Below are 12,662 nucleotides of genomic sequence, written 5' to 3' on the forward strand. Positions count from 1 at the left end.
ATATAAGACAGTATATATTTATATATGCTATATATAAGACACAGTATATATTTATATATGCTATATATAAGATACAGTATATATTTACATATGCTATATATAAGATACAGTATATATTTACATATGCTATATATGATACAGTATATATTTACATATGCTATATATGATACAGTATATATTTACATATGCTATATATGATACAGTATATATTTACATATGCTATATATGATACAGTACATATTTACATATGCTATATATGATACAGTACATATTTACATATGCTATATATGATACAGTACATATTTACATATGCTATATATAAGATACAGTACATATTTACATATGCTATATAAGATACAGTACATATTTACATATGCTATATAAGATACAGTACATATTTACATATGCTATATAAGATACAGTACATATTTACATATGCTATATAAGATACAGTACATATTTACATATGCTATATAAGATACAGTACATATTTACATATGCTATATAAGATACAGTACATATTTACATATGCTATATAAGATACAGTACATATTTACATATGCTATATAAGATACAGTACATATTTACATATGCTATATAAGATACAGTACATATTTACATATGCTATATAAGATACAGTACATATTTACATATGCTATATAAGATACAGTATATATTTATATATGCTATATAAGATACAGTATATATTTATATATGCTATATAAGATACAGTATATATTTATATATGCTATATAAGATACAGTATATATTTATATATGCTATATAAGATACAGTATATATTTATATATGCTATATAAGATACAGTATATATTTATATATGCTATATAAGATACAGTATATATTTATATATGCTATATAAGATACAGTATATATTTATATATACTATATATAAGATACAGTATATATTTATATATACTATATATAAGATACAGTATATATTTATATATACTATATATAAGATACAGTATATATATTTATTGGTCATTTACAAAAACTTGGATTTAAACATTTGAAAATATATATCCTTCTCAAGCAAACATGAAACAGTTATATTTTAAAAATAAAAGTATATTATATAATATACGGTGGGTGGGCACGGTGGCTCACACCTGTAATCCCAGCACTTTGGAAGGTCAAAGCATGCGGATCACCTGAGGTCAGGAGTTTGAGACCAGCCTGGCTGACATGGTGAAACCCCTTTTCTATTAAAATACAAAAATTAGCGGGGCGTGGTGGCAAACGCCTGTAATCCCAGCTGTTTGGAAGGTTGAGGCAGGGAGAATTGCTTGAACACTGGAGGCAGAGGTTGCAGTGAGCCAAGATTGCACCACTGCACCCCAGCCTAGGAGACAGAGCAAGACTCTGCCTCAATCAATCAATCAATCAATAAAGGGAGAGGGAGAAAGAAAAAGCTATAGATGCTTGCCAAAAATTTAATGGTATATAAGTAAAGAAAGTGGTCTAACCTCTAAGAGAGTAAACACTGTTAACACATTTCTTTTTTTTTTTTGAGATGGAGTCTAGCTCTGTCACCCAGGCTGGAGTACAGTGGTGCAATCTTGACTCACTGCAACCTCTGCCTCCTGGGTTCAAGCGATTCTCATGCCTTAGCCTCCCAAGTAACTGGGATTACAGGCGCCCACCACCATGCCCAGCTAATTTTTGTATTTTTAGTAGAGATGGGGTTTCCCCATATTGGCCAGGCTGGTCTCGAACTCCTGACCTCAGGTGATTCGCCCACCTCGTTCTCCCAAAGTGCTAGGATTACAAGCGTGAGCCACTACGCCCAGCGTGTTAACACATTTCTTTAAGAAATGACCTGGAAGATTTGAAAAGAAATAAAATAGAAGTTTTAAAAATCAAATATTATTGTTCAAATTTTAAAAAAATTGATGATTGAAATAGAAGATTAGATACAACTAAATAAATAATTAGTGAACCTGAAGGTATCCAAAAAGACCCACGTAACAAGGAGATTGAAATACAGTTTGAGTTTCCCTTATCCAAAATGCTTGGAACTAGAAATGTCTCAGATTTCAGATTTTTTCAGATTTCGGAATATTTGCATTATACTTACCAGTTGAACATCCCAAGTCCAAAACTTCAAATTATTCCAATGAGCATTTCCTTTGAGTGTCATGTCAATGCTCAAAAAGTTTCAGATTTTGGAGCAATATGGATTTTAGATTTTTGAATTTTGGATGTTCAACCTATATAAAAATAAGTTAAAATAAATGGAGGATAGAATGATAAGAATTGACATTAATGTTTTGTTTTTTTTTTTTTAGACAGGGTCTCATTCTGTCACCCAGGCTGGCATGCGGTGGCACGATCTTGGCTCACTGCAACCTCTGCCTCCTGTGTTCAAGTGATTCTCCTGCCTCAGCCTCCCGAGTACCTGGGACTACAGGCATGGGCCACCACACTTGGCTAATTTTTGTATTTTTAGTAGAGACGGGGTTTCACCATGTTGCCCAGGTTGGTCTCAAACTCCTGAGCTCAAGTGATCTGTCCACCTCAGCCTCCCAAAGTGCTGGGATTACAGGCCAGAGTCTGTTTTTATCCACTAATCTATACTTCTTCCCCATACTAGCAGTAAACAAAATAGACTTTAAAAAATTTTAAAGCACTTTAGAGACAGAGCAAGTCACTACTAGAACGTTAAATGATTTAGCTTACTAGGAAAGTGTAACAACTTGTATGTACCTAATAAAATAATCTCAAACATCAAAAGCAAAAATTGCTAGAGCAAGACATTTACAAATCTGCTAACGATAGAGGGAGATTGCCACATTCCTTTCTTAGTTACTGATATTTCTAACAGATAGAAATTTTAGACAAATTATAGAAATTTGGGCCAGGCACAGTGGCTCCTGCCTGTAGTCCCAGCACTTTGGGAGACCAAGGATGGGGGAAAGCTTGAGTCCAGGAGTTTGAGACCAGCCTGAGCAACATGACAAAATCTCATCTCTACAAAAAAATACAAAAAAATTTAGCTGGCTGTGATGGTGCGTGCCTGCAGTCCCAGCTGCTCTAGAGGCTGAGGTGGGAGAGTCAATTGAGCCCAGGAGGTTGAGGCTGCAGTGAGCCATGATCACACCACTACACTCCAGCCTGGGCAACACAGTGATACCCTGTATCAGAAAAAAAGAAAAAGAAAAAAAGAAACAGGGAGAAATTAATTAATAAGCTATATTTATTGGTCATTTACAAAAACTTGGATTTAAACATTTGAAAATATATATCCTTCTCAAGCAAACATGAACAGTTATGATAACTGACCAAGCATTACCTTATAAAGTATCTCAATAAATTTCAAGGAACATAATTAATCAAACTGTACTGACACCAATATAATTCAAATAGAAGTTAGAAATTAAAAAATAAAGCCGAGCACTGCGGCACACGCCTGTGATCCCAGCACTTTGGGAGGCCGAGGCAGGCGGATCACCTGAGGTAGGGAGTTTGAGGCCAGCCTGGCCAACATGGTGAAACTCCGTCTCTACTAAAAATACAAAAATCAGCTGGGGGTGGTGGCACCCACCTGTAATCCCAGCTAGTCGGGAGGCTGAGGCAGGAGAATCGCTTGAACCCGGGAGGCAGAGGTTGCAGTGAGCCGAGATCGCGCCACTGCACTCCAGCCTGGGCAACAGAGTAAGACTAAAAAAACAGAAATTAAAAAGTGAACTAAAAATCCTCATATGTTTGACATTTATTTTATTTTATTTTACATCATTATTATTTTTTTGAGACAGAGTCTTACTCTGTCACCCAGGCTGGAGTGCAGTGGTGCAATCTCGGCTCACTGCAACATCTGCCTCCCGGGTTCAAGTGATTCTCCTGGCTCAGCCTCCCGAGTAGCTGGGATTACAGGCACATGCCACCATGCCCAGCTAATTTTTTTTTTTTTTTTTTTTTGAGACAGAGTATTGCAGAGGTTGTGGTGAGCCGAGATCACACCACTGCACTCCAGCCTGGGCAACAGAGCAATACTCTGTCTCAAAAAAGAAAAAAGAAACTTAATGTTGGGTGGAAAAAGCAAGTTGCAGAAGACAACATATAGTCAACCATTTTGATAAACTTAAAAAAAAAAACTGGCTGGGCACAGTGGCTCACACCTATAATCCCAGCACTTCGGGAGGCCAAGGTGGGTGGATCACCTGAGGTCAGGAGTTCCAGACAGCCTGGCCAACATGGTGAAACGCCATCTCTACTAAAAATACAAAAAATTACCCGGGTGTGGTGGTAAGCACCTGTAATCCCAACTACTTGGGAGGCTGAGGCAGGAGAATCACTTGAACCCGGAAGGCGGAGGTTGCAGTGAGCCGAGATCGTGCCATTGTACTCCAGCCTGGGCAACAAAGAGAGACTCTGTCTCAAGAAAATAAAATAAAGAAATAAAAACTAAAGACTACATTTTTCAGGATTACATACATACATTTGAAACTATGGAAACAAGATAAAAGAGATATTAAGGATCATTATTAAGCTATGTTTTCTGATCTCAATATAATTATGACAGAAGTAAGAATTAACTCAAAGGGGTAAGCCCAAAATCAAGTATAGCAGTTCCCTAGAGGACAAAGCCAAGAGACAGTAGCAAGTAGAAGTAGCACGAAAATAAATGCAACATTATCAGTGCTGTTCTGGTTCTTAAGGAAAATGGCGCATTCATAAGTGTTCATTTACACTAGAGACTCGGAAAGGTGGATGGGAGGGTGGGAGATAGGTAAGGGATGACAAATTACCTAATGAGTACAATGTACACTATCCCATTGATGGCTACACTAAAAACACAGGCTTCACCACTGTGCAATATATCCATGTAACAAAAGTGCACTTGCACCCCCTAATTATAGTTTTTAAATGTTTATAAGTTTTTTATAAAGTGAGCCAGACGCAGTGGCTCACACTTGTAATCCCAGCACTCTGGGAGGCCAAGGTGGGCAGATCGCTTGAGCCCAAGAGTTTGAGAGCAGCCTAGGCAACATAGTAAGACCTGACTCTACAAAGAATACAAAAAGTTAGCTGGGCGTGGTGGCACGTGCCTGCAGGGTCTGCTACTTGGGAGGCCAAGGAGAGAGAATCATATGAGCCTAGTAAGTCGAGGCTTCAGTAAGCTGTGATCACACCACTGCACTCTAGCCTCAGCAACAAAGTGAGACTCTGTCTCAAAAAAAAAAAAGTGTTCATTTTGTTGTCACCTTTGGACAGTACAGCGGTGGCATTTATAACTTGCACTTATACTACATATATTCTCTTTCTCAAATATTATATAATTTTAAAATATATTAAACAGACACTTGCTCTATTGTTCCAGAGGTTTAATGTTGTCAAATCTGACTTAGTTCTGTCGTAGTACAGAACTCATCACAGATGATTAGGAAGTTTTGGGTCAGATGGTTGCAGGATTTTTCTTTACATTTACAGTTTTTAAAATATTTCAAGATGTGCCCATTTGTAAACAAGCATGTTCTTAGCATTTATTCTAGCAACTTGGTTTGCAAGCCTTTTGGTATGCAATCCAGCAAAAAATTTGAAAGTATCATATTCATGTGTTTTTCCCAAAGGTTTGAGGAAATGCGAACAGTTCTTTCCCTTCCTAAAAGGGCCTAAATGCATATATTTTTCATTCTTGGAGGAGGAAAAGATATGTTCCTAATGATGAATTCCAATTAACTACCACTAACAGTTCCCTTTTGCCCCCTCTCTTTTGGTCTCCACGAAGCCCTGCTCCTACTCTGGAAGAAGTCAACGCCTGGGCTCAGTCATTTGACAAATTAATGGTCACTCCAGCAGGAAGGAATGCATTCCGTGAATTCCTCCGAACAGAATTCAGTGAGGAAAATATGCTCTTCTGGATGGCCTGTGAGGAACTGAAAAAGGAAGCTAATAAAAACATTATTGAAGAGAAAGCAAGGATAATCTATGAAGACTACATTTCTATACTTTCTCCTAAGGAGGTATGTGACCACGAGATGCCTTTTCCCAAGGCTGTTGGTAAAATTAACTTGGTGCAAAAGTAATTGCCATAGGCCGGGCACAGTGGCTCACGTCTGTAATCCCAGCACTTTGGGAGGCTGAGGCGGGCGGATCACCTGAGGTGAGGAGTTGGAGACCAGCCTGACCAACATGGTGAAACCCCGTCTCTACTAAAAATACAAAAATTAGCCTGGTGTGGTCATGGGCGCCTGTAATCCCAGCTACTTGGGAGGCTGAGGCAGGAGAATCGCTTGAACCTAGGAGGCAGAGGATGCAGTGAGCCGAGATTGTGCCATTGCACTCCAGCCTGGGTGACAACAGCAAAACTCCATCTCAAAAAACTAAACAAAAGTAATTGCCTTTTTTTTTTTTTTTTGAGATGGAGTCTCACTCTGTCGCCCAGGCTGGAGTGCAATGGTGCAATCTTGGCTCACTGCAACTTCTGCCTCCCGGGTTCAAGCAATTCTCCTGCCTCAGCCTCCAGAGTAGCTGGGATTATAGGTGCGCACCACCAGGCCTGGCTAATTTTTGTATTTTTAGTAGAGACAGGGTTTCACCATGTTGGCCAGGATGGTCTTGATCTCTTGACCTCGTGATCCACCTGCCTTAGCCTCCCAAAGTGCTGGGATTACAGGCGTGAGCCACCGTGCCCGGCCTCGCCATTACTTTTAACTTTTTCCAGAAAAATGCACAAAATTTTTCACCAATTTCAGAGGACATTTGGAGCCGCTCTGCAGGTCCACAGTCAAAGGGATCTGAATACCGTGAATGCGGGTGCAGCTGTTTTCTACATTTTGCAGTTGATGTTCTGGGTCAAGCTGAACATGACCAAACAGCTGCACCCACATTCACGGTTTTCAGATCACTTTGACTGTGGACTTGCAGAGGGCTCCAAGTGTCCTCTGAAATCTGTGAAAAATTTTGTGCATTTTTCTGGAAAAAGTATCCCCTGGAGTCTCCATTTGACACTGAACACTGTTTACAAATATTATACCCTAAGACGTTCCTTTAAATAAAATTATCTTGTTATTCTGAGAAAAATCTTGTATTTAGGTATCTTGATGTTATAGAGCAGCAGCATCACAGATGTGATACTGATGCTGAAAAGGTTTTCCCCAGGCTGGCTTTTTCATTCAAGAAATTATCAGATGAATGAGATTGGGCAAGTTTCCACCTGTCAGTGTTTCAGTTTCTTCAAATCTAAAATGTAGGAGGCCAGCCCTGGCACAGTGGCCAACTTCTGTAATCGCAGCATTTTGGCAGGCCGAGGCAGGTGGATCACCTGAGGTCAGGAGTTCGAGACCAGCCTGGCCAACATGGTGAAACCCCATCTCTACTAAAAATACAAAAAATTAGCCAGGTGTGGTAGCATTCATCTGTAATCCCAGCTACTCAGGAGACTGAGGCAGGAGAATCACTTCAACCCGGGAGGCGGAGGTTGCAGTGAGTAGAGATTGCGTCATTGCACTCCAGCCTGGGCAACAAGAGCAAAACTCCATTTCAAAAAAATAATAATAATAAAATAAAATTTAGGAGGTCAGATTGTTCTCAAATTGGGTGCCTTGTAGCTCTAATTATAAAACTATTAGTTATTTCCTACTATGTGCCGACAGGAATGTCAAGTTGAAGAAGCAGGGCCTCTCCTGTCATGGAGCTCCTGGAGATGTGGGCGGACAGACCAGGACCCCTGGCCACACTCTCAGCACTCACTGGGGCTCGGGGGTGAGCCATCCACAAAGGGGTGGGCGAGAATGAGAAAAATACTCAAGGAGGCTACAGATGGACCAAGGATAGTGAAAAGGAAATTTCCACAAACACAGCAGGATGGGGACATCCCAGGAGACAGGACCAGGCGAGCCCAGGGGAAGAGCATGAAGTTGTGTGATCACTGCAAGTATACACAGATTGTGCCAGAAAGGGAGGGTGCTTACCAAACTATTAGGGCTGGGGGCAGGCAGCAGGAGGAGACTTAGAGAAGGGGTAGTCGGAGAGCATGGAGAGGTTTGGGCATCATGGCGAAGTGTCTGGATTTTTATCTTGGGAAGCCCTTGGATTTTAGCCTGTTTATATCATCAAATTTTGATTTTTGAAAGACCAGTAGGGCTGCAGAGTGAATTTGGAGAAGACCAGGGGCAGAAGACGTTAGAAAACTAATTCAGGAGTCCAAAGGGACATGGTGAGGGCCTAGCTAGGCCAGCTGAAGACGCTAGAGAGGAAGAGTCGGATTTGAGGCAAACCCCACCGTCTCAAATGACTCCCATATGTCTGGTGTAGGCAGACCAGGTGGTGGGGTCGTTGGCTTACTTAATTTTGCGTCGTTACGTTTTGCTTTCTTAAGTTTGCGTTGTTAAATTGGTAATATTCAGTTGACATGTTTGAATACTGAGTCCAAAAAGTTATTTTCATTTTGAATTAATAAGGAGCAAGATAATTTTTGTCCTTTAATTTATGGCTTCCACATATTTTTATTTTGTCATGATTTTTTTTAAGGCAAGGTTTTTCATCAATCTTTTAAAGTATTATACAACCAAAAACAGGCCGGGCACAGTGGCTCACGCCTGTAATCCCAGCACTATGGGAGGCCGAAGCAGGCAGATCACCTTGTCTAGGAAGAGCCAAACATCAGAGCAATCAACATCTCCTATGGGCTTAGTGAAATCCAAGCACTTTGTCATTAAATCACAAAAAACCTAAGACATTACCATCATCATCATCCCCACTTCAGGGGAAGAGCTCACTAGGACACAGAGTTTACCTTGCCTGAGGCCCCACAGCTATACAGTGACAGGGATGGATTTTGTTTTGTTTTGTTTTTGAGATGGAGTCTCGCTCTGTTGCCCAGGCTGGAGTGCAGTGGCATGGTCTCGGCTCACTGCAACCTCTGCTTCCCAGGTTCAAGCGATTCTCCTGCCTCGGCCTCCCGAGTAGCTGGGATTACAGGCACCTGCCACCATGCCCAGCTAGTATTTTTTATTTTTAGTAGAGATGGGGTTTTGCCATGTTGGCCAGGCTGGTTTCGAACTCCACAGCGCTGGGATTACAGGCGTGAGCCACCATACCCAGGCAGGGCTGGAATTTAAACACAGGCATTGTCTGCCCTCAGGCCCTGTGATTGGAACCTTCCAGGGTTTTGAGTCAACTTCCACTTCACCCCTGTGCCCAACCCTCCGGGCAGGCCAGCACTCATCCCCAGAGCCCTGCCACTGTGGGCCAGCAGGGGAAGCCTGGGCCTCCAGGTGTCAGCCCCCACGTTACAAGGAAATGAGCAAGGGGCAGTCTGTGCTGCCTGTTTTCTTCAAAGCAGCAGTGTGAGCCCTGCCAGCATCACTTAGAACTTGTGGGAAATAACAAGCATCAGGGGCCCCTACACCTACTGAGTCTGGGGTGGGGCCCAGGAACCGCTCTCACAAGCCCTCTGGAGCCTGCTGATGCCACTGACATTTGAGAACTGCGTTGATTATGCTTTTGGTTTCTCTTTGGCAGTTTGGATTTTTTGGATGATCTTGTTTGGTTTGGGATATTTAAAAAACAACAAGGCCGGGCACAGTGGCTCATGCCTGTAATCCCAGCAGCTAGAGAGGCCGAGGCGGGCGGATAACCTGAGGTCAGGAGTTCGAAACCAACCAACACGGAGAAACCCCGTCTCTACTAAAAAAGTTAGCCGGGTGTGGTGGTGGGTGCCTGTAATCCCAGCTACTCGGGAGGCTGAGGTAGGAGAATTGCTTGAACCCAGGAGGCGGAGGTTGCACTGAGCTGAGATCGCGCCACTGCACTCCAGCCTGGGTGACAGAGTAAGACTCTGTCTCAAAACAAAACAAACAACAAAAAAACCAAAAACAAAAAACAAAAACAACAACAAAAATCCCCACAAGCTCTAGGAGTTTGGGATAGAGATACAACTGAAGTCTCTAATACAGCTCCTACTCGTTTCTGTCGACAGGTGAGCTTAGACTCCCGGGTGAGAGAAGTGATCAACAGAAACATGGTGGAGCCATCCCAACACATATTCGATGATGCTCAACTTCAGATTTACACCCTGATGCACAGAGACTCATATCCTCGATTCATGAACTCTGCTGTCTATAAGGACTTGCTTCAGTCCTTATCGGAGAAATCTATTGAAGCATAGGATTTTTCAAATATATTTATTATTAATAAAATAATAAAAGAATTCATGGGCTACAACTAGCACAGGGAATTTAGAGGTTGTAGCATCTTCTGCTGGAGTAATACTCAGGCTATTCTAATAACAGATGATTCCTTCAACAGACTGCTATATATTCACCATGTAAACTGCAGCCACCTTTAGTGATACTTTTGAAAAAAAAAAATAAAGGGATATGGCTGTTGTAGAAAGATAGCGTATTTGCATTTACAATAACAGTAGCATGTTGTCAGTGGCCAAGGCTACACAGAAGGCTCCCTGCTGCCCGGAGCAGGTACATCCACCAGAGCAAAGGGAACCACTTTTATTTTGCATGAGTTTGGTAACTGATTACTCTCCCCTCAAAGAAAAGACATTCAGGTGTTTCTCAACGACATCTTCTGTCCAGCAAGCTCGGTTTGAATACGTCACTTACCAGTGCCATTGCAGGACCCAAATTCACAGTTCATAAAAGATGTGACCACTACATGTAAAAATAGCATTCTACTTGATCTTACAGTATGTATGTATGTATGTATGGAGACATATGTGTGCGTGTGGATGTCTACATGGTTAATGGAAAGCACTGTGCTCTGAAGTGGATCAGTCTCAAGTGTCTGGTAACAGCAGCAGTGCTTAGAAAATTCTTTTGTTGAAAAGAGTTACTGTTATTATCAGAATTTGCCAACCTAAAGAATGAATTTTTAAATTCATAACTTGGTCATGTTCACAACAAAACTGTCAAATAAGCATATTTCCATTTTTATTACTGAAAGAAATATGGGCATTTTCATTCTTTAAAGAAATAAAGCACAAGAATTTTATCTCAATCTTTATTTTTCCATATGTACGTATTTGGGAAATAGAAGATTAAGAAAGTAGGGATACGTGCAGCCTATCTTTTAGCTCCCAGACTAGGATTCTGTCCTTAGATCCCACTATTTTTATCATAGATAAAAAGAATAACTTCTCACAGGTAAAACTACCAGTTGGTAGACCTAGACCATCCTGAAGAAATCCATCTCTACATAGAATAGGAAACACACTCAAAATCTGGGACGCTCTGAGTAGTGGGAAAGACGCTACTTTGCAGGAGGCGGCACCGTGCTCCTGCCCTCGAGGGGAATGGTTCTCCTCTGGGTCCTTCTCCCTCCCTGGCCCCTCCATAGCCTGCCTGTATCTTCATGACTCAACTCAAGCCCCAAACCCAAGCCCCTCTCCTTCATTCTCAGGAAACCATTTTACCTCCTACTCTACTATGCAAATTGTGTCCGTAAGTCCCCTCAACTTCCCGTGCAACCTATAAATATATATAGATCAGCGTCTATTCTCATCTCCCTCAGTCCAGTCCCAGAGAACAATGTGCTCTCCTCCTTTTTGAGGTGTCAATCCCTTACATGTGCTTCCAAGTTTTCCAATCTCATTTCTTACTAAAAAAAAAAAAAAGGATGTGATTGCAAATAAGACATAAACCCTGCCCTCTAGTAGTTTACATTCAGTAAAGGCAGACAGACATGTCAGTGGCAACTCTGATATAGTAAGAACCACAGCAGGGGAAGAACAGCGCTGTGGGAGTCACGAAGGGTTATGGAAAGATTCTGGTGGAGATGGCACCAAAGTCAAAATCCAGAGAACAAGAAGAATGGATGTGTTGGAGGCAGAGAGGGCACTGGATGAGATGGTATTCATAACTGAGTGACCCCAAAGGAATCGACATGCTGAGAACGAGGGAAGACACACATGAAAGGACATGTTGGAATCAGTTGGATGGAGGGATCTGGGTGGGTGAGTCTAGGCTGGCGTACTGATTTTGGGGTTTTTCAGCACATAGGGGAATAAGATTGCCTGGAGAATTATGCATGAAAAGATAGCTGAGGGTAAATCATTGCAAGGATAGACAGAACTGACAGCCCCAAAGGAGATTTAGGATTCACCTTGTCAATAAAAGTAAGAAGAGTTGGGGAATATGGAAATATGGCAGCAAATGCATGGGAGTGTCTCGAGGGGCGGTGGTGAACAGTGGTAAATGAAAGACTCTTACTTAGAGCTTTGTTCCAGCAGTTTCTCCCCACCCTCCTGTATCACTGAGTTCACCTTGGCTTTTTCCCGCACCGTAAGCATGCTCGATTTCCCGGTTAAAAACAAACGCGCGTTCCACTGTAACAGCTGCCTCCTGTTGCCCCCTTTCTCATCAGACCTTTCACAATAGCCCACACTTGCTGTCTCCATTTCCTCATCTCCCCATTCTCACCTTGAGCTGCTCCAGTGCCCTCAACTTCTCCAAGGAGGCCTCTCCCTGCCAAGTCTACAGCGCAGTTTTCCCAGCCTTCTCAGTGGGCTGCTCAGCTCCTGATATCATGGATGGCTCCTTCCTTGAAACAGCACTTCCCTCAGCTTCTGAGGTGCTCTCCTAGTTCTCCATATTCTCTCTCTTCTTCGTTTCCTTCCCAGGCAGAAGAGCACAGCAGCTAAGGGCTTGGGTTCTGGAATCAGACTCTCGGACTCCTCTACTGGC

General features: G+C 41.8%; 1 protein-coding gene across 6 annotated transcripts in view; it reads left to right on the top strand.

Annotated features, from left to right (window-relative positions):
- The window catches only part of RGS20 (regulator of G protein signaling 20), a 107,509-nt gene extending 96,532 nt beyond the window's left edge, over positions 1–10,977 (top strand). For all 6 annotated transcript variants that reach the window (NR_104579.2, NM_170587.4, NM_001286673.2 and 3 more), the window contains 2 exons: positions 5,750–5,984; positions 9,944–10,977. Coding sequence is in view for 5 of the 6 variants with exons in the window: in NM_170587.4 (NP_733466.1) it covers positions 5,750–5,984; positions 9,944–10,132 (424 nt within the window). In the remaining variant the exon portion in view is untranslated. The remainder of the gene's footprint in view (positions 1–5,749; positions 5,985–9,943) is intronic.
- The last annotated feature ends 1,685 nt before the right edge of the window (positions 10,978–12,662 follow it).

Source organism: Homo sapiens, chromosome 8 (genome assembly GCF_000001405.40).
Source record: "Homo sapiens chromosome 8, GRCh38.p14 Primary Assembly".
In the NCBI taxonomy this organism is placed as follows: domain Eukaryota; kingdom Metazoa; phylum Chordata; class Mammalia; order Primates; family Hominidae; genus Homo; species Homo sapiens.